The sequence below is a fragment of the Homo sapiens genome, chromosome 10 (assembly GCF_000001405.40).
Source record: "Homo sapiens chromosome 10, GRCh38.p14 Primary Assembly".
NCBI classification, from domain to species: Eukaryota; Metazoa; Chordata; class Mammalia; order Primates; family Hominidae; genus Homo; species Homo sapiens.
Window position 1 is genome coordinate 101,461,961 of NC_000010.11, and position 23,339 is coordinate 101,485,299.

The 23,339-nt window shown below is 38.5% G+C and overlaps 1 protein-coding gene across 14 annotated transcripts in view; it reads left to right on the forward strand.

The window, feature by feature from the left end:
- BTRC (beta-transducin repeat containing E3 ubiquitin protein ligase) overlaps nt 1-23,339 on the forward strand; it is a 203,266-nt gene that overhangs the window by 107,913 nt on the left and 72,014 nt on the right. For 9 of the 14 annotated variants that reach the window (XM_047425986.1, XM_006718054.3, NM_033637.4 and 6 more), the window contains 2 exons: nt 21-98; nt 17,408-17,497. In XM_047425986.1, coding sequence (XP_047281942.1) covers nt 17,471-17,497 — 27 coding nt within the window. In that variant the 5' untranslated portion in view covers nt 21-98; nt 17,408-17,470. The remainder of the gene's footprint in view (nt 1-20; nt 99-17,407; nt 17,498-23,339) is intronic. The other 5 variants (XM_017016870.2, NM_001256856.2, XM_017016874.2 and 2 more) reach the window with 1 other exon arrangement.

The following is a 23,339-nucleotide window of genomic DNA, read 5'->3' on the forward strand; positions in this document are numbered from 1 at the left end:
AAGCTTACTTTCTTTCACAGAATTCCTCAGAGAGAGAAGACTGTAATAATGGCGAACCCCCTAGGAAGATAATACCAGAGAAGAATTCACTTAGACAGGTATGAAATTCAGCCTTACTTAAAATAAAAAGCTACCAACAGCAAAACAAAAGACAGGAGGAAACCCTTGATTTGCCATTCTTTAAGCACTGGAGCTTATATTAAGAGTACTCGGACGTTGGCCTGGCCATAGCCATCACTTTCAATCAGGTGACATGGTTTTCCCAGTTATTTAAAAAACATTCTAGGTATACATGTACAGGACAGCTGGTTGGCATTTTTAAAAAAGTATAAAAACAGATCTGCCTGTAATAAAGTTAGCCCTTTTAGTATGAGCAATATTTTGTTTGCTTTTTCTAGAAGAAAAGGCCATTGTTAATAATAACTTAAAAAAACAGCAGCCGGGCAAGGTGGCTAACGCCTATAATCCCACCACTTTGGGAGGCTGAGGCAGGCGAATACCTGAAGTCGGGAGTTCGAGACCAGCCTGACCAACATGGAGAAACCCAGTCTCTACTAAAAATACAAAAATTTGCTGGGCATGCTGGCGCATGCCTGTAATCCCAGCTACTCAGGAGGCTGAGGCAGGAGAATCACTTGAACCCCAGAGGCAGAGGTTGCGGTGAGCTGAGATTGCGCCATTGCACTCCAGCCTGGGCAACAAGAGCAAAACTCCGTCTCAAAAAAAAAAAAAAAAAATAGCTCACCACTGTGCCCCAATAGAAGGTAACACATTTTACTTGTGAAAGTTCAATACCATTGTGTTCTTGTAAAAATTAGAATGTCCTTGGCAAAAACAAGAAACGCAAGTTCTTATGATGTTGCCAGAGAATAAGTGTGCCACCTATTCATTTTTATTTTTATTATTTTATTTTATTTTTATTTTTGAGACAAAGCCTCACTCTGTCGCCCAGGCTGGAGTGCAGTGGCGTGATCTCGGCTCACTGCAACCTCTGCCTTCTGGGTTCAAGCGATTCTCCTGCCTCAGCCTCCTGAGTAGCTGGAATTACAGGTGCCTGCCACCATGCCTGGCTAATTTTTGTATTTTGGGGTTTTTTTTTTTTTGAGACACAGTCTTGCTCTATCGCCCAGGCTGGAGTGCAGTGGTGTGATCTTGGCTCACCACAACCTCCACCTCCAGGGTTCAAGCGACTCTTCTGCCTCAGCCTCCTGCGTAACTGGGACTACAGGTGCCCACTACCACACCGGGCTAATTTTTGTATTTTTAGTAGAAACGGGGTTTCACCATGTTGGCCAGGCTGGTCGCAAACTCTTGACCTTGTGATCTGCCCACCTAAGCCTCCCAAAGTGCTGGGATTACAGGCATGAGCCACTGTTCCCGACCTAATTTTTGTATTTTTAGTAGAGACAGGGTTTCACCATGTTGGCCAGGCTGTTCTCAGACCCCTGACCTCAGGTGATCTGCCCAGCTTGGCCTCCCAAAGTGCTGGGATTACAGACATGAGCCACCACACCTGGCCCTGTATTCATTTTTAATATAAAATTGGATACAATGAGCCTGAGCAGCAGTAAAAATAATTCTAATTTACTTGGATTTATAGCATTGTTCTAGGAAATAGGAGATCTAATATTTGTTGAGCACCCACCGTGAACATGATGCTTATTTGATTTAACCCTCACAATAACCCTGTAAAGTTTTTAGATATGATGTGACTTCCAATTTATAGATGAAGAAAATGGAGGGTTAGAGAGGTTAGATGACTTGTCTAGCTAATTAGTGATTTGATACTCAGATCTCAGTGTTTCCAAAGCGTTTCTACTTGTGCCTTCTGACTTCAGTTTATATATAGTGTTTAGAGGGAAAGTACTTGAAACTGTGACACATTCATTTTTTAATTTACTATATGTTAAATGTTTTTTGGATGAACACTTCTTTTTTTTATAAAAATAATTGTTTAGTAAATAGAATTGAATCATCCAGGAAGCTTTAAAAAAAAAAACAAACAAAAATCCACAAATGATCAGTAATTGATGTTGAGACAGTTACAATTTTAACTGTTTGGAGAATCAACACCTGATCTGTTCATCTAAACCAATAGGACAATACTGAATAAGATAAATTGGGAAGTAGGAACACTCTGCCCACTATACAGAAACAACTGTCGGAAAACAATGACACAACAAAAGTTTTGGCAACTTTATTTAAGCTAACAAACGAATTTTCTCTCTGCAAAGTTATAAATTAATTTTAATAGGCTGATCCAGATGGTCCATTTGGAAAATGGATAGGCTGATCTGTTGAAAATTAAACTAAATTTATCTCTCTCATACTTCAAACTGAAGCAAGAGAGAGAATCATGCCTATTAAGTCCAGCACATACAGATGGACCAGCAGGTCACACATGGGACTAATCTGATTCATTTTAAAAATAAATGCATACATTATTGAATCATTTTCTACTTGCAAGATCTGTTGTGTGCAATATTCGAAAGAGATTTAATGTTGTTTTTTTCATTGCCGTTTTAGCAGGTTCTCTTCCCCACTCCCCCTGCCCACTTTAATTTAACAACCTTCCCCCCCACCCCCCCCATGGTGCTTTGAAATGATTTTTCTAATATCTGTCATTCAGTGTTGAGATCCAAGCTCTGGAGATTAATTAGGTCATGAGGCTTTTTCTCCTCCCTTCTTTGTAAAGGGTTTTATCTCCATTCTCTTTGTGAAGAGCATGAACTCAATGTTCTTGGAAAGAGAAATGGCCTTTAGAAACAGGGAAGTAGGAGATCCTCCTGGGGCCCTCAGAGTCTTTTAGCTTCTGGGTGTTTTAGCAGCCCCATGAATGCAGATTTGTAAATTTATTGCAGTGCCATCTGGTTTTTTGCTCGAACCAGATTACTGTTGGCTTGTGTCTGTCTATTGTGGTGGTCACTCCCTAGGAGCTTGCCCTCTCTATCTTAGGGAAGAGTGATGAATAGCAGGGGTCAATAGAAGCGGGTCACAGGGCAGCTGTCCAGGACTGCCCTGAACTTGATTACCCCATTGCTGATTTTTTTTAAGGTAGGACATAGTATATAAGCTGTTTAAACTCCCTCTTTTCTCTATTGCATATGACAATAATGAAGTGCCATTTGCTATTTTGTTTTTTTGTTTTTGTTTTGTTTTGTTTTTCCTGTAGTCAACTTCTGTAGACAAAAAGATGTCAAGGCCGCCTTATACCTAGTATTGATACAAGTAGGATTTGCATCTCATTAACTTGAGATTCTTTTGCAGATATTTCTAATGGGATTTCAGAAACTCACTATTGATTATAAAAAGTTCAGTTATCTTCTAGCAATTTAACATTGTTTTTAACTAATATTATAGTTGACATATATTATTCAAAAATAGCGTTTTGCCATTGTTGATAGGACATAACTACTGCATGTTAATTTGGAGAGCTATTTAAATATTGGAGGAGCAAACAACTTTATACCAAAAATTTGGCAAGTTGAACAAATTCCTTGAAAAATACAACTTACCAAAACTCTTAACACAGGGTGAAGCAAAATTTGAATAGCCTGATGTCTATTAAATAAATTTAATTAATCATCAGAAGGGACATGTGGTTTTACTGGTGAATTCAACAAATATTTAAGGAAGAAATGATACGAATTTTATGCCAGACCCTTTCACAGAATAGAGAAGGAAAGAACACTCCTTGACTTAAAAATCCACCATAACAGTAATTCCAAAACCCGACAAAGATATTACCAGAACAAGAAATAATGAAGGTGGAAATTAAGAGACACTGTTCCCTGTGTCTGTCACCAAGTCATTTTGTATACCTGCTTTTTCGTTTCATTTCCAGCATCTGAAGATGGAAGAGTTTGGGGTAGGGAGAGGAAGTAGAGCAGTGTATCCTTGTAAAGAAAGTTAATTTTCTTAGTTTCAGAATAATCTCATTTCTTGGCATTAAATATGAACTTTTATTTAAAGGATGTACAAAATAGCTACAATTTTTGTTTTACTCCTAAAAATGTGAAGTCAAGGAAAGGATAGCCACTGTTTTCCTACCTTTTATTCCTATCTGCAATCAAGGGCAAAGGCCTGGGAGGATACATGAAAGTACTCATTACTTTTTGAAAATTGTGGCATTACAACGTTCAACTCTTTGCTTCTCATTGGTGCTAATAGGATCTGTCAGCCCTGCCTTTCTCTGTAATTGAGTAAATTGTGACCGTTGTCTAATCCCTCTCCCATCCCCCATTTCCTTTGTGTATGTGTCCACTTACCATCCTGAGAACGTGGGCAGTGATAAATAAAGCATTGAGTAGAGCTCTCTCAACTCTCTGAAAGCAGCATGATGCCAGCCCTCTAGTTATATTTCTTTAAGTGTTTAGGTTTTTCTGTATTCTTTCTCTTGTGTAGCTGGAACCCTGGGGATGCAAAGCCATGAGAGAGGCCAAGAAGCTAACAAAGTAGCTGTCTCCCTTGTTAGCTTGTTCCTTTATTCTTTAAAAACAAGATAAAAACCATCTGGCTCAGGGCATTACATTTTCCTCCCCCATGCACCTCTATAGATGGAGACTTCACCTGCAGTGAGGGTTTACATTGATTAGGGAGGGAGCAGTAATTCAAGCTTCCATCCTCTTCAAGGATACTTTGCAGTCTTTAAAGGTGCTGACCCACTGAGTTAGACTGTCAAGGGAGGATAAAAAAGTATCTTCATCCCAGGAGGTAACAGCTGCCAGGTTTTCAACACCTTGCACGCTGCTGGAAAAATGTCACAATTGTCAGCTGAAAGAAAAATGACTGTGTTGTCATCTTCTGTTAATGACTGGGCCTTATAAAAGGAACTACATAAGTCTTTTAGAAGGAATAAGTAGCTGTTTTCCTTTTCTACCATATTCCCCTCCCCTGAAAAAATTCCTGCGTTCTAAACATTGCCTTGGAGTAGATCCACAAAAAACAGCAGTGAAGAACTTAAATCAGCCAGTATAAGCATGGAAGTCTGATGGGCATAGCTCCTTTATACAGTTGGATGAGTAGGAGGAAAAAGCACATCACTGACACAGAAAATGACATTATAGTGTGTATTAACAAAACAACCACAACAACAAAAAGTCATTCATAAGCCAGTGAACTGAGAGAAAACATACTGTATTTCTGTTCTTTGGAGGACAATTTATTTTCAAGCAGCATCCAGATGGGTAAATACCAAGACATTTCTTTTTTCAAGAGAGCTCCTTTTCTTCCTTTAAAAAAAAAAAAAACACAGAATTTGCTTCCTTTAATAGCTCTGTAATGTTCATATATGATGGCATTCCCTTCTTTCTGATTTGATTGATGAGGGAAAAAGGTTTAATGAAGTCCCTGATATCAGGCAGGCAGGGTTTTTTTTTTTTTTTTCTCTCTATTTGTTTTAGGTTAGTCACTTTAATTGTATTGAGTAATTAGAAGGTACACACAGCCAAGGGAGCTTTGTTCTGATAATTGCTCGAGAAAACCCATTCCCTATCTGCCGTTGCTTTGTGTTAAGACACTTCTCCCTCTAGTGGCAATAGTAAGCACTTTGGCTTGGCAGTAGGCAAGGTGTAATTGCAATATGACAAACTATGCTTAAGGGACTGTCTTGTAAATACTTTCGTTTGGGGTTTGCATTATTTCATTATATATGTGTGGTTGGTTGTTGTTGGTTTTTTTTACTCTATAAAACTTGCTACCTCTTTTTGCCCTCCTAAAGTGCTTTGGGCTTTGGGTAAAAAAAAAATTGCCTGAGATGTTTATTAATAAAAAAAATCACAATGCATTCTGGGTAATGTTTTGCAGCTTGACTTAATTTTAGTCATCTGTTTTAATTACCTATTTATAAAAATGCCTTTGCATTTGTAGACATTATTTAATACTTTGGAAGAAGCACCTCATTTGAAATAAATAAATAAATTGTACTTATTTTAAATAGTCCATGTAAAAGATCTTAAAGGTAATTAATGTAGGTCTCTTAAGTAAGACAAAAGTGATCTTTCCAAATCTGACGAAGTGATTTGTTTATATAACTTCCCACTTCTGTTGAATCCTTTAGAGTCTAATAACTTTTTTAAGAAAACACGGTTTGGCAATTTGTGCCTAGCTACAAAAACCCTTCTTCAAAAAGGAGCAATTTAATAACCGGCTTTCTTAAAATTACTTTGAGGAAGGAAGACCGTATGGGGGGTTGGTGCTTTGTTTTATTTGTATTTTAATGTAATCATTCTTTGATAAATTGTGTAATCACTGACTTAGTAGGAAAAATATTATTGAACTCCTGGGTTGCAATGACCATAAAGAGTGTATTTTCATATAGAGAGTTGTGATACTGGGAATAAATTATAAAGGAAACAGTTTATATGCTGGTCAAAGTCCATATGGGCCCAATTCATTTTGTTTTCAGTGCTTACTCTGGATGTACCATTAAAAAAGGCGGGGGGTGGGGTGGGAGGAAGCCTGTTGTGCTCATCTGCATGAGCCCTAAAAAAAAAATCTGCCCTAAAAACAACACGGAATGATAGCAGATGCAGCTTTGCATCTATTGAACAAGATTCAGTAGCATCTGTGTGGCATTTTTAAAACCCACTTCCAGCTTCCTTAGATATTGCTTTTTGGTTTGCTTTTTCTATACCATATTCTTGTGTGGGACATGATTTGATGTTACCATGTATCTGGAAGTCCCTGTCTTCCTATACCCCCACTCCCAGTCACTAACGATTTTCATTATACTATATCTTGTTATGCTATAGGGCTGCTGAACAGATTTCTAAGCAGCTTTTTGCAAGGTTAAAACAATGCAGCCCAGTAACAAGTTTGTGTAATTTTAAATATATACCTTCTAGTAAATAAGGGCAAGTCTGGCAATCAATCCCTTTTAGTGTGTTATATGTTTCACCTGACAACTAAACCTTCTATTGATTAGCCATTACTTTGTTAGATAATCCTATGTCATTGAATCCATTGTAAAAAATTAAACTCTTTAAAATGTTTTACCCTAGCAGCAGTGTGAAAATTGAAAACTTGTTCAGAATTACAGCCTGCTTTCACAAAGAAGGTAGTTTTCAGCAAGGCATCTTACTAGTTTATGCTTATGTGCTTTATATGCGATATAAAAACGTATTAAAGTACTCCAACGCAAAACTCTCTGCCTCTGGTTCAGCAATGAAGCTACCTTTTCAAGTGTTGCATGGGGACAGAACCTATCTTGCCTGTGGCTATTATATTCACTAGTTGGATTTCAAACTGGAGAGAGTCTTACAGGAAAATATTGAATGGAAAATATTGAATGTTTTAGCCTTTTAATTGCAGAGTGGTAAAGGAACTATGACAAATTTTAGTTTATTGATCTGTGTTACTTCCTTGGGAGATCAGCAAAGTCATTTACCCATTTTACAGATGGAATGTCTAGAAAATAAAGTCCTATATATAGCCCTACTCTGGAAACTCCCTCAGGCCTGGCACAGAGTTTCTGAATCTATCTAATGGTCCCCTAAATATGTTATTACATATTCATTCATGAAGGGAAAAGAGGGTAATTTTGAAGGAAAATAAATTTTCTTTTTATAACTTAGTATTTTCAGAAAAATAGCATGATACATTTATTGATGACTGGACAAACCTCTGTAAAAAATTTACTCCTAAGATACTTCTATTGGAAGTTTTCATACAGTGAATTTTACAGATATTAATTGTATAAGTCTGAATTTTTGATAAATCTAACCACCTGTGTAACCACCACCCTAATTAAACTATAGAATATTTTCATAACCTAGGAATGTCTCTTGTTCTCCTTTCTACTTATTTTCTGCACCACCAATGGATCAAATACTGATCAGCTTACTGTCACTGTAATTTTGCCTTTTCTAGAATTTTGTGTAATGGAATGCTATATTTTTGGGGTCTGACATTCACTTTGCATAATGTTTGTGAGATTCCTCTATGTTGCTGTGTATATCAGTAGTTTATTCTCTTTCATTGAGTTGAATAAATATATCGCAGTTTGTTTTCTGTCTCCTTTTGGTGGATATCTGAGCCATTTCCATCATTATAAGTGAAGTTACTATGAACGTTCTTCTATAAAGGTTTTTGGTGAGCATATGTTAAGTACTTTTTCATGTGCTTATTGGTTATTCAGACATTTTCTTTGTGAAGTATCTTTTAAGTTTTTAGCCATTTTTAAAAATTGCATTGTTTGCCTTTTTATTATTGAGTTGTAGACTCAACTGTATTGAATTCTGGATACCATTCATTTGTCAGATATATGTACTCTGATTATATCTCACAGTCTATGGTTTGCCTGTTTATGGTATGTTTTGATGAGAAGTTTCTAATAGTTGGATGAAATCCAGTTTACCAATTTTTCTTTCTTTTTTTTTTTTTTTTTTTTTGAGACGGAGTCTCGCTGTGTCGCCCAGGCTGGAGTGCAGTGACACAATCTCGGCTCACTGCAACCTCTGCCTCCCAGGTTCAAGCAATTCTTGTGCCTCAGCCTCCTGAGTAGATGGGATTACAGGCATGCGCCACCACATGCTAATTTTTGTATTTTTAGTAGAGACGGGGTTTCACCATGTTGGCTAGGCTGGTCTCGAACTCCAGACCTCAGGTGATCCGACCGCCTCAGCCTCCCAAAGTGCTGGGATTACAGGCGCGAGCCACCGCGCCTAGCCGGTTTTTTCTTTTAGAAGGGATACTTCCTTTGGTCCTACCTAAGAAATCTTTGTCTACCCCATGATTGTGAAGATATTCTTCTAAGTTTTCTTCTGGGAGCTTTATAAGTTTACTATTTATACTTAATTCTATGATCCATCTCAAATTAATTCTTATACGTGCCATGAAGTAGAGTTTGGGCTTCATTATTTTTGCCGTAATTTCATTCAGTTGTTTCAGCACCATTGTTGAAAAGACTTTCTTTTCCCCCATTGAATTACATGAATTCATTTGTCCAAACCATTTAGTTATATAAGAGTTATATTCTCAAACCTCCTGAAGAAAACGTTGCTGCTGGACCCAGAGCAGTGGGTGACAGTGCCTAAGGTACTGACCCATCCCTATTTTATGTCCCTGTAGACAAGGCGGACAAGAAAAATGATAGGTGTCTATCCTTGCACCAAATACCATAGTGTCTTGATTATTGTCATTTTATATAATGGGCCATGAAATCAGGTAGTGTGAGTTCTCTAGATTTGTTGTTTTATTTTTTGTTATTCCAGATAGTTCACATTTCTATATAAATTTTAGAATCAACCTTGCACTTTCTATTAAAAAGCAGTCTGTGAGGGGCTGGGTGTGGTGGCTCCCTCCTGTAATCCCAACACTTTGGGAGGCCGAAGTGGGAGGATCGCTGGAGCCCACTGAGTTGGAGGCTACAGTGAGTTATGATCACACCACTGCACTCCAGCCTGGGCAACAGAAAGAGAAACTATCTCCAAAAATAGACAGACAGATAGATAACTACTTTTTTTTTCATCTGAGATATATAGGATTTTGCCCCCGTTATTCTGTTAATACGACAAATTACCTTGATTTTTGTTAAGAGTTTTTGTGTCTGTTTCATGTGAGGTACTGGTTTGCAGTTTTCTTTTTTAAGTGTTTGCCAGGTTTTGGTATCAGAGTTATGCTGGTCTTATAAAATGAATTGGGAAATCTTCCTCCCATCCTCCTCTGTTTTCTAAAAGCACTTGTGTATAATCCTGGTGGTGTTTCTTCCTTCAGATTTCATAGAATTCACAAACCACTTGGGCCTGTAGTTTTCTTTGTGAAAGATTTTTTAAACTTATTATTTAAATTTATGTGGCAAGATGTTTTAGAGCAATTTGAATTTCTTTTAGAGGTATAGAGCTGTTCAGATTTTCTGTTTCATGTGTCAATTTTGGTAATTTGTGTTTTTGAAGAAATGTTTCCTGTTTATTCAACAGATTATAATATGTTAATATCTTTTATTTTAATACTGTGATTGTTTCATATTGGGCTACTGAAAGCCTCTTTCGGCAGGCTTCCATGCCCCCTTTGACGTATCTTCATCGTTCTGAGTATTTCCATCTTATAGTTTCCCTGGTCAGTCCTGGAGTCAACCATATTTCCATGAATGTATGATTCCCTTTAGTGCAGAATGGTATTTAAAAACCAAGATTCAAACACTGACTTTTCTTTTACATCTATATTTATATACTTTGAAACCATTAGTTCACATTGATAACTCCAATTCTAATTCAACCCCACAGGGTTTGTTCTAGATTTCTTTCTTTCCATATTTCATTTTTCTCCCTTCCTTCCTTCCTTCCCCTTCCTTCCTTTTTCTTTTCTTTTCTTTTCCTCTCTTCTCTTCTCTTCTCTTCTCTTCTCTTCTCTTCTCTTCTCTTCTCTCTCTTCTTTCTTTCTTGTTTTTGGTAGAGATGGGGTCTCTCCCTATGTTGTCCAGGCTGGTCTTGAATTCCAGAGCTCAAGCAATCCTCCTGCATTGGCTTCCCAAAATGTTGGGATTATAGGCATGAGCCACCCCACCCCTTTCCTAACATAGGAAACCTGGTTTAAGATTTTTTTCCTTTCAGCACTTTAAAAATATTGTTCCCAGCTGGGCGTGGTGGCTCATGCCTATAATCCCAGCACTTTGGGAGGCCAAGGTTGGGTGGATCACCTGAGGTCAGGAGTTCGAGACCAGCCTGGCCAATATGGTGAAACCCTGTCTCTACTAAAAATACAAAAATTATCTGGGCATGGTGGCGCACACCTGTAGTCCCAGCTACTTGGGAGGCTGAGGCAGGAGAATTGCTTGAACCCGGGAGACGGAGGTTGCGGTGAAATAAAAATATTATTCGCTTGTCTCCTAGCCTTCATTTTTTTATGAAAAGCCTGACATTATTTATATCGTTACTCCTAGATACCTAACATCCCCTTTTTCCTTGGCTCCGTTCAAGGTTTTATCTTTATCACTCGTTTTCAGCAGTTCTGACTGTGATGGGCCTATATGTGTTGTTTTCTTTGTATTTTTAACATGACTGGGGTTTGCTGATCTGAAATCAGAAAGCCGCTAGTTTTCACAAAATTTGGGGAAGTATTTGATCACTATTTTTATAACTTCTTTGCTGTACCGTTCTCTTCTCCCTTCCTTGGACTCCAGCCACGCATATATTCTAGATAATCCAGAATTGTCCCACACAGTGACTAAGACCGATCTTTTTTTTTTCTTTTCTTAATCTCCTTTTTTTCTCTCTGTTCTTCAGTTTATATGATTTCAGTTTATCTATCTTTTTTTTTTTCGGTTTATCTGTCTTCATTGACCTTTTCTTCTGTCACTTCCAGTCTGCTTTTTAAGCCTCTCCAGTAAATTTTTTGATTTTTTTGAGATAGGGTCTCACTCTGTTGCTCAGGCTGAAGTGCAGTGGCATGAACATGGCTCACTGCAGCCTTGACCTTCTGGGCTCAAGCAACCGCCCACCCCAGCCTCCTGAGTAGCTGGGACTACAGGTGTGCACCACTATACCCAACTAATTTTTCTTTTTTCTCTTTTTTTTTTTTTTTTTTTTTTTGAGACAGAATCTCAATCTGTTGCCCAGGCTGGAGAACAGTGGTGCAATCTCAGCTTACTGCAACCTCCGTCTCCCGGGTTCAAGCGATTCTCCTCCCTCTGCCTCCCAAGTAGCTGGGATTACAGGCACTTGCCACCATGCCCAGCTAATTTTTGTATTTTTGGTAGAGATGGGGTTTCACCATGTTTGCTAGGCTGGTCTCAAACTCCTGACCTCAGGTGATCTGCCCGCCTCGGCCTCCAAAGTGCTAGGTGTAAGTCACTGGGCCTGGCCAATTTTTTCTATTTTTTGTAGAGACAGGATCTCACTACGTTGCCCAGGCTGGTCCTGAACTCCTGAGCTCAAGCTATCCTCCTGCCTCGGCTTCCCAAAGTGCTGGGATTACAGGCATGAGCCACCATGCGCAGCCTGAATTTTTCATTTCAGATAATGCACTTTTCAGTTCTAGAATTTCTATTTAGTTTATTTTTGGTTTTTCATTTTCTGGTAGAATTTTTCATCTGTTTATTCATTGTGATCATATCTTTTATTGCTATGTTCAAGTTTGAACATATCTATTATAGCTTCTTTAGAGCTATAATATGTGCTAATTTCTACAACTAGGTCTTCTCAGGGTTGGTTTTTGGTTCATTTTTCTCTTGACAATGGATCCCATTTATCTCCTTTTTCTCATTTTTAGTAATTTTTGATCATATAACCAACATTATAAATGGTACATTGCAGAAACTCTGAATTCATTTTTTCTTCCTCTGATTAAATTACTGGCTGATCACTATGACCTTGTGGAGGCTTGGTTTTGTATTTGTTAAGGTCAGGTGTATTTTGGTTTTGCCCTTAGTCCTAAGACATACTCTTGAATCTAAACTCATGGTCTCTTTGAATTTTTAATGGAAAGCCTAAGATGTTATTACATCCCTCTAACTTGATAGAAGTCAAACTCTAAACTCTTTCTCCCCCCATGAGCAGCAGCTGGAATATCTGCACAGGCCTTTCAACCCTCCAGCTGTTGCTCTCCATTGAAATCCTTGGAATCTCCCCTTCATGTACGTAGTTTGGGTGTTAGCCATAGATTTGAGGGGAATTTATATGTAATTTTTTAGTCTTCCTCCTTCCCCTGTGGTTCTCTTTCATTTCTGGGATTTCTGTTCTCTATTGCCAGCCACTATGGCAGTTTTGAACTCTTATCACTTGATATCTCAAGCCAATAGACTGTGGCTTTCAGATTGAATTCTAGTCACCCTGCACCAAGTGGACTCGTGAGTGCCTTCAGGGGAAAAGCACATAAACACACATCTCACCCAGTGTGGTTCTCTTCTTTCAAGATCAGGCCACTCCTTCCCCATTTTCCGTCTTTTTTAAGTCGATCTCCAGTGCCTTTATGTAGCTTTAAAATGTTTTTCCTATCTGCAAGAGGGTTTATCTGATACAAACATTTCTGCCATTACTGGAAGCGGAACTCTTTGAGTCAAGTTATATTTTTTTCAGCAAATACTGATTACTTCATAAATTTATCTTTAAAACATAGTGAATTTTATTTTAAAAATATTTATGTTTGTGTGTGTATGAATAGTAAATGTTTGTGGAATTAGACAACGCAAAAGAAATAACAAATCTAGAGCCCAGAATTTACATGCACCAATATTTAAATCTGTACACTAATTTCTAATGCTCTATTTTTTCATATATATTTTGAAATAATTTTTACTTAAATTATAAGAATAAAACAAGTTGGTAAATTTTTTAAGGTTTAGCCTGTTTAAAAGAAAAACAGCTGGGCGTGGTGGCTCACGCCTGCAATCCCAGCACTTTGGGAGGCCAAGGCAGGTGGATCAATTAAGGTCAGGAGTTCAAGACCAGCCTGGCCAACATGGTAAAACCCTGTCTCTACTAAAAATACAAAAATTAGCCGGCCGTGGTGGCACATGTCTGTAATCCCAGCTACTTGGTAGGCTGAGGCAGGAGAATCACTCGAACCTGGGAGGTGCAGGTTACAGTGAGCCGAGATTGCACCACTGTACTCCAGCCTGGGAGACAGAGTGAGACTCCGTCTCAAAACAAAAACAAAAACAAAAACAGAACTGACTTTATAATATCGATGGGGAGTTATATATCTCTACTATTTTCCCCATTTTTTCTTAAATTTTATCTATTTTCTTTCCAAAGAATGATAGTTGACCAAAATCAGATTCTTTAAAATATCTCTTCATGCTGATATAAACAAATGAGTAAATAAATAAATGAGGGGTGAAATCACATCTTTTCCTTACAGAAGAATTCCAGTTAATGTGGAAGGAAAGACAAAAATAATAAATTCACTATTAGAATACACAGTAAAAATTACCATAGGCATGATTAGCACCCAATGGATGCTAAAATTAGCAAGCTGAGATGCAAGTAGAAACAGAATATTTGCATAGTCTCCAAGTATTTTGCCATATATATATATATATATATATATATATATATTCAGTAATTCCTAAGGGGAAAATAATGTTTATACTGGAGAATCTTGGCAGACATGTCCTTAGCTGTATAATCAAGGCTAACATCACCAGAAATACCAGCATACCTTCTGATTTGATGCAGTGAGAGGGGCACATCACCTCTAAAGTATCTTTCCCCAAAATAACCTCAATCTGATCATGAGAAAATATCAGACAAACCCAACTTGAGGCACAGTCTGTAGATTAACTGATCAGTGCTGTTTAGCAGTGTCAGTCATGAAAGACAAGGAAAGACTGAGGGATTGTTGAAAATAAGAGGAGCCCTAAGAGACATGACAAATAAATGCCATGTGGGATCCTAGATTAGATGCTGAACAGAAAAAGGACATTAGTGGAAAAACTGGTGAAACCTGAGTAAGTTCTGTACTTTATATAGTACCAAGTTAATTTCTTAGTTTCGATAAATGTTCTGTAATTATGTAAGATATTAACATATGGAGAAGCTGGGTGACAAGTATATAGGAAATCTTTACTTTTTCTTTCTTTCTTTTTTTAAAGAGATGATGTCTTGATTTGTTGCCCAGGCTGGAGTGCAATGGCATAATCATAGCTCCCTGCAGTCTTCAACTCCAGGGCTCAGTCAGTCCTCCTGAGTAGCCAGGACTACAGGCCTGTGCTGCCACGCCCAGTTAATTTTTTTTTTTTTTTAAATAGAAATGTGGGCTTGTATGGAACTCCCGGTTTCAAGTAGCCCTCCTGCCTCTACCTCCCAAAGTGCTGGGATTATAGGCATGAGCCACTGTGCTTGAACTTTACTATTTTTGTACTTGTTCTATAAATCTAAAATTATCTCAAAATGTTAAAAAATTGAATTCTTTGTTACTGTTGGTTTTGAGTGTCTTAAGATTTTTCTTCTTAAATCCAACACAAGTATTTATAGCAATGGTTCTCGAAGAGTGTTCCTGGATCAGCAGCACTAACGTCAACTGGGGCCTTGTTAAAAATGCAAATGTTCAGAAGCTCTGGGGATGGAAACCTAGCAATCTGTGTTTGTTTTGTTTTGAGACAGAGTCTTGCTCTGTCACCCACGCTGGAGTGCCGTGGCACGATCTAGGCTTACTGCAGCCTCTGCCTCCCGGGTTCAAGCGATTCTTCTGCCTCAGCCTCCCGAGTAGCTGGGATTACAGGCATGCACCACCACGCCTGGCTAAATTTTTTTATTTTTTTATTTTCTTTTTTTGTATTTTTAGTAGAGACGGGGTTTCACCATGTTGGTCAGGCTGGTCTCAAACTTCTGATCTCAAGTGATCCTCCTGCCTTCGCCCCCCAAAGTGCTGGGATTACAGGTGTTAGCCACCAGGCCCCACCGTGATCTGTGTTTTAACAAGCCCTCCTTCCAGATGATTCTGATGCGCACTAAAGTTTGATAAACATAATTTATACCATCAGTAAAAACTTAAGACTAAAAGGAAACATTTCTATTAATATATTGTCCAGTAATTAATAAGTTTGCTTTTCATAAAGTATAACTATAGTATTACCAATGTTTTGTTTTGTTTTTGGTAGAGACAGGGCCTCGCTGTGCTGCCCAGGCTGATCTCAAACTCCTAGGCTCAAGTGATTCCCCTGCCTCGGCCTCCCAAAGTGCTGGGATCACAGGCATGAGCCACTGTGCCCAGCTATCACCAGTTTTTAAAATCCATTTCCTATGATTTTTTTCTTTCTTTTTTATTTGGAGACAATGTCTTGCTCTGTTGCCCAGGCTGGAGTGCAGTGGCGTGATCTCAGCTCACTACAACCTCCATCTCCTGGGCTCAAGCGATTCTCGTCCCTCAGCCTCCTGAGTAGCTGGAACTACAGGCACCCACCACCATGCCTGGCTAATATTTTGTATTTTAGTAGAGACAGGGTTTCACCATGTTGCCCAGGGTGGCCTCAAACTCCTGAGCTCAGGCGATCTTCCCACCTCGGCTTCCCAAAGTGTTAGGATTACAGGTATGAGCCACCGCACCTGGCCTGATTTTTCTATTTTATCTCTTCAACATTACCAGATGTACTTAAGGGATAACTTCTAAGGTCTAGATAGGCCCAGTGAGGCTGCTCTTGCCTGTAATCCCAGCACTTTGGGAGGCCGAGGCGGGTGGGTCACCTGAGGTCAGTAGTTCAAGACCAGCCTGGCCAACATGATGAAACCCCATCTCTACTAAAAATACAAAAAATTAGCTGGGCATGGTGGCAGGCGCCTGTAAGCCCAGCTACTCGGGAGACTCAGGTGGGAGAATCACTTGAACCTGGGAGGCGGAGGTTGTAGTGAGCCGAGATTGTGCCACTGCACTCCAGCCTGGGCAGCAGAGCAAGACTCCATCTCAAAAAAAAAAAAAATAGGTAAGTGTTGGTTTATCTTTTTTCAATGTTCTTTCAATTTTGGTTTATTTCTCTTTTCTTTTTAAAGCCAAAAGTCAAAGCTTGTATTGAGATTCTTTTATAAAAATATTTCATGATTAGTTTTAAAATAATTTTTTTTTTCTGGATGGTTTAAAATTTTTTCATTTATTGTTCTGAATAAGAAACATGTCAGCTGAGCACAATGGCTCGTCCCTGTAATCCCAGCACATTAGAAGGCTGAGGCAGGAGGATCACTTGAGCTCAGGAGTTCAAGACCAGTTTAGGCAACATGGCAAAACCCCATCTCTACAAAAAATACAAAAAATTAGCTGGGCGTGGTAGCGTGCCCCTGTAGTCCCCCACCTACTCTGGAGGATCACTTGAGTCCCAGAGGCATAGATTGCAGAGAGCCAAGATCTCACCACTGTACTTCCAGCTGGGGTGACAGAGTAAGACCCTATCTCAAAAAAAAAAAAAAAGAAAAGAAAAAAAGAGAAAGAAACATGTCCTCTGTGGGAGGCTGAGGCAGGAGAATCGCTTGAACCCCGGAGGCGGAGGTTGCAGTGAGCCGAGATCACGCCACTGCACCCCAGCCTGGGTGACAGAGCAAGACTCCATCTGGGGAAAAAAAAAAAAAAAAAAGAAACATGCCCTCTAACTACCTTCAGATCTTGATGGTTTTGAAAGTTTAGAAGGAAAAACAACAAAAATAAATCTTTTCTCAGAACGGTAACTGCTGTTTTAAACAGAACTAAGCTCTTCCAATTTGCATTTTAAAATGCTACATAATCAGTACCCCCAGCTTCCATTAATCATTAATACAGTGAAGCCACTGCTGCTTACATACTTGTTCATGGGCACATCAGTGGCTTTTGTAGCCTCTATCTTTGCCCTCCTCCTTTTCTAACTTACCTCTCAGTTCCCATAAGTCTTAACTTATAGATAAAATCTATTTGTGTTTTGACTTGAGAAATAGAGCAGAATTTGAAAACAGGATATGGCAGTATTTCAATATTTTAAAAACCTGTTTCCAACAAATTCTCTTTACAGACATACAACAGCTGTGCCAGACTCTGCTTAAACCAAGAAACAGTATGTTTAGCAAGCACTGCTATGAAGACTGAGAATTGTGTGGCCAAAGTAAGTAATATTGCTCATCAATGTATATTACACCACACCATAACAGTGCCATATCTGTAGGCATCTTTACTCAGTATTGCTTAAGGATTATTACAGGATTATATAGTTAAGAAAAAAATACAAACAGGCATCATTTTATCTAGAACAGATTGCAAGTTAGATTCTCCACCTCTTAATTGCAACAGAATGTTTTGCTTATGAATTCTGGTCACTCTTTAGACTGATTCACATTTGTTTCTTGACACTAGTTGTAGATTATCACATATCAGTAGGATTTGTATAAGATAATGTACAATTGTTTTGATAAGTTTATGGTTTTTAAATACAGTTACGTATAGAGTACATCACATCATTGCAAGGACTGTGAAATATGCTATAGACAACCCAATTATTATATCACTATTATTATTTATTGAGTGGCTAATGTTGGAAATACTGCTTTTGTTGATCTTGATCCACATGGACAAGTATGTTTAGTCATGTGTATGGGCTACCTCTTTTTCATGTATATATGTCATCTCTATAGCCTAGATGTAAAATTAATCTTAAATATTAGAGATCTGATGCTTTTTATATCTATCATAACTCACATTTTCCAAATATCTGTAATTACTGAGGAATTTTGACTAAAATTCAAGTGTCAGACATTTTAGGAATAAGTACTATTAAGTATGGGCTTTGTTTCTTTTACTTGAATTATCTGCAAAAATATTGCCTTTATATCTATTCATAGATTTGCTACTGTTACAACATTCCCAACTTGAACTATTTTAGTTTAACCTATTTTATTATAGATCCAGGCCCTCAGTTTCTTACTGTTATTATTAGAGCTTAGGACTGGTGTCATGTCATTGCTATCTTTGCTACAAAAATCTAATGACAGTTGTCTTAGTCCATGTGAGCTGCTATAACAAAAATACTGTAAGCTGGGTGGCTTATAAACAAAACTAATTTTTTTCTTATAGGGGCTGAGAAGTCCAAGATGAGAGCACTAGCAGATTCAGTGTCTGGTGAGGGCTTGCTCTCTGCCTCATAGATGGTGCCTTCTCACTGCATCCTCACATGATAGAAGAGACTAGCTAGATATCCGAGGTCTCTTTTTTTTAAGGGCACTAATCCCACTTACAAGGGGTCTGCCTTCATGAATTTTGGAGAACACAAACGTTCAGACCATAGCAAAAGCAGAGTTTTTGTTTATTTTTCCTTAAAACATGCAGTAGTCTCTGGGCCTGCTCTATCAACTGGAAATGTATCACACAAAATATAACCATCGAAATCATACATATAAGAAATATCAGAATTTATTTAAAATTACAGTTTAAAAAGGTAGAGTTCATCAGTTAAATGTCTCAAATCCAAATATGTTAATATTTTGCTATAAAATGTAATTATAAATTACATATTTTTCAGTCATTTAGTCACAACTAACAAGTGCTAATTGACCCTATTTTATTTTGTTTTGTTTTATTTTATTTTTAGAGACAGAGTCTTGCTCTGTTGCCCAGGGTAGAGTGCAATGGCACTAATCCTAGCTCAATGCAGCCTTTACCTCCAGGGCTCAAGCCCTGATCTTCCTGCCTCAGCCTCCCGAGTAGCTGAAAACATGAGTGCATGCCACCACACCCAGCTAATTTTTGGTTTTCGGTTTTTTAGAGTTGTTTTGTTTTGTAGAGATGAGGTGTCGCTGTATTGCCTAGGCTGGTCTCGAACTCCTGGCCTCGAGTAATCCTCCCCACTAGGCCTGCCAAAGAGTTGGGATTACAAGCGTGAGCCACTGCACCCAGCCCAAGTCTACTTTATATCCTGCTTTTGTGCATGGAAACAGGGATACACAGTTATTTGGGCCTTTAAAAATATTCTTTCTTTCTTTTTTTCTTTTTTTTGTTTTTGGCCATGCTGCTCTTAGTTTCATCACAAGTGGGTGACTTCTGGCTAAATAAGGTAAAATTTTAGCATGAGCACCAATCCAAGGACAGGGTGATGATTTTAATGAGTTTCACTGAGAGCTGGCCAAGTGAGCATCTGTTCCTTTTGTTTTCTCCATACTTTGTAAGCCAGGATCTCTAATCTAAATAGGTTGGTGTGTGTCTATATGATGTGGAGTTTTTTTTTTTTAATTGTTTTTTTCTCCCACCCTCTGCTTTATTGGTACATGGTTAAAAATCTTCTGCCATCTAGCACAATTATTTAATTTCTTCCATGCTTTTGGATCTTGAGTGAGAAAGTAAGTTTGCTCATTGCTGCTCATCAGTGTGTTTCACTTGCTCCCAGGTGGTGACCTTCTCATTGCATTGTTGCTTATTTTAACATTATTCTGACACCTATATCCTTTCGTCATCCTCTTAAATAATCTAATTTAATGATGATGTCTATCATTTCCTATTGGAACCCAGTTAAATCACTGGTTCCTTTTATTGGCCCACATCCTGTCTTCTGGTTCATTGCTTCAGATTTGAGCCAAATAATCAGTTGGTCAATGTCAAATAAAAACACATAGCTGAAAAATTTTCTTTCTTGCAACAGTCTCCAGTGAGGTACCCATAGCATGAGAATACTGAAAAAGGTTTTCCTTTTTTTTGTGAGATGGAGTCTCACTTTGTCACCCAGGCTGGAGTGCGGTGGTGCCATCTTGGCTTACTACAACCTCCACCTCCTGGGTTCAAGCCATTATCCTGCCTCAGCCTCCCGAGTGGCTGGGATTACAGAAGTGTGTCACCACACCCAGCTAATTTTTATATTTTTAAGTAGAGACAGGGTTTCGCCATGTTGGCCAGGCTGGTCTCGAGCTTCTGACCTCAGGTGATCTCTCTGCCTCAGCCTCCCAAAGTGCTGGGATTACAGGTGTGAGCCACTGTGCCTGGCCAAGTTTTTTCTTTTTTATTTACATGTGTTTTGTGTGTCTCATGATCCCTGTTTCTTTTTTGTTTGTTTGTTTCTTTTTTTTTTTTTTTTTTTTGAGACGGAGTCTTGCTCTGTCACCCAGGTTGGAGTGCAGTGGCATGATCTCGGCTCACTGCAAGCTCCGCCTCCCGGTTTCACGCCATTTTCCTGCCTCAGCCTCCTGAGTAGCTGGGACTATAGGCGCCCGCCACCACGCCCGGCTAATTTTTTGTATTTTTAGTAGAGACGGGGTTTCACCGCGTTGGCCGGGATGGTCTTGATCTCCTGACGTCGTGATCCGCTTGCCTCAGCCTCCCAAAGCAATGGGATTACAGTCGTGAGCTGCCGCATCCGGCCAACTGTTTCTATTGGCCTCTATTGCTTGACCTTTGAATGGAATGACTTGTCATTATTTTTGTTGGTCTGCAAGCTTGTCCCTATTTCCTGTTCTTCACCTTTAGCCCTTAACTGAATAGTTTCATCTGCTGCATTGATATGGCTGCAGTGTTTTCTCAACTTGGTACAAGTGTCTGTTGTTGATTCAGATTGTACTCCATTGTGGCCTGAATCTGTAACCATTTCCATGTGAGAACAACTGTAATATTGTGATATCAACCATTTTTGTCCTTTAGTTCAAAGAGTGACTTTGGCTTGGCTAGAGATACTAATTATAGGCCAAAACCTTATTATTTATTGAATATGGTTCATGTAAGTTTTAGAGAAGACATTAATACTATTTATTTCCCTAAAAGCAGCAATGGTATTATGTTTGGACCCCTATAATACCTTGATTGTAACTCTTTGCCAGAAATATCATAGTCTTATGATAGCTCTATACGAAGGGTACCAATTAGTCCTCTGTAGAATACAAGAAACAAAGCTGTAAAACAAATTACAACCACCCTAAGTTGGCAATAATCTTGTTAGTCTTTAACTTGAAGAAAGAGGCCTAAGAAAAAATTTAAAACTAAAAATGGCCGGGCACGGTGGCTCACACCTGTAATCCCAGTACTTTGGGAGGCCGAGACGGGTGGATCACGAGGTCAGGAGTTCAAGACCAGCCCAACCAACATGGTGAAACCCTGTCTATACTAAAAGTATAAAAATTAGCTGGGCGTGGTGGCACATGCCTATAATCCCAGCTACTCAGGAGGCTGAGGCAGGAGAATCACTTGAACCTGGGAGGCAGAGGTTGCAGTAAGCTGAGATCGTGCCACAGCACTCCAGCCTGGGCGACAGAGTGAGACTCAGTCTCAAAAAAAAAACTGAAAATGTAGGAGGGTCTATTTTATCCCTATAACTTAATCCAAGTAATATTTGGAGGCATTGAGATACCTTTTTGTTTTTTTTCAGAATTCTTTCTCCTGGTTATGGCCCTGTGTTTCATGAGATTTGTGTTTGGAGCATGATGAGCTCTGTGTTTATTGTAGCTTTAAATGGACAGTCATTATTAACTGTCAACTTAGTCTTTAAAATCCATAATCACATTGTGCTTATTACTTGTCAACCTTCATGATTTTTTTTAATTGGTAAAGAAAACTCACTGGAAGGCTGAAAAGCATTACTTTTTTATGTTATCTTGCTATTGGCTTTATTAAACTATTACTGCAAATTTTGGTCTTAGGTTTTTTTCCCTAATTTACCCTTACCCACACCCACAGATACACAAATACATGCAGTTAAAATTGAATTGTTTGAATACATCTATCCAGATTCCTGGCCCAGATAAGAGAAGTTTTTCCTCTTTATGTTTGGGAAATAAACCCCTTCAGTAGCCCTTTGTGGATGTTCTGTATTTTAGTTGTTATTGGTTGTTGTCACTGTTTTTTTATTTGAGACTAATAATCTGTTTGAAACTGACTGAGACAGAAAAATGTGATGTTCCTTTCCACTCACTCCAGATTTTGATAGAAGACTTGTTTTATTTATTTCCAAAATTATATCCGCAGGAAACAAGCTGTTTAAATTCAGATTATGCTGAAGCAAAATGGTCCTGGTATGAGAAGCAACGTGCTGTTTTACGAGCACAGAGTCCCTTTTCTCATAACTGATTGATAGTAAATATTTTCCTGAAGAATTATTGCCAACCATGAACAGTGCAACTGTTTCACTTTTTTTCCATGCTACTTGCTGTACCAGCCATTGTCGGTAATTAAGATCTACAATTCACAATGCAGACGTTTGCACTTCCTCTGGGTCTGTGCTATTTATAAGGCATTTCAGCTGTTCAGAGTTTCTTTTGAGTTTTAAACTACATGTTAACAGGCTTCTTTAAGATACTGTTCCACAAGTAGCATGTCATATGGTCCGTTCTTCACACAGGCGCCTCTGTCAGGTCTAAACATTAGCTTTACAGAGAACATACTAAGATATAACCACGTCATTGAGGCTGATGTGGTTGGAAAAACTGTGGAGTATAATGTGTTACACATTGGGCTTATTGCTCTTTCAAAAAGATAGGAAGGAACTTCAGATGTAATATTCTTTTTGAAAATCTTAATATTCATATGAGCTTAATGTGTTAATTGGGTTACAGAGATATACACAGTTAAATGACTTTTCCAAGTTCACTTTGCATTAATAAGAGAAGCCAGGACCCCTCTTATAGACAAGAGTTTGTGTGTTTGTCAGATTAAGGATGTAAGAATACATTTTCTTCTAGATGTGCGTGCCGTTTAAGAAAAATACAGACATGGGGCACCAAAACGGATCAGCAGATTGACTGCACATTTGTTGTGTAATCAGCTTCAGGAACCCTAAGTAGCATATGCCATTGGTTGAGGAAAGTGTAAACAGGAATCTTGGTCTGTGTTAAAGTTGGTAAAATTTAAACCATTTTCAACCAAAAAGAGACTTAAAAAAAAAAGTCCAGACCCCAGCCCAGAATCTTTATGAATTATGCCCTAAAATAAGAGTAATTGCTTGTGCAGTCTTCTTGCTACCGGCACTCATTGTTAAACAT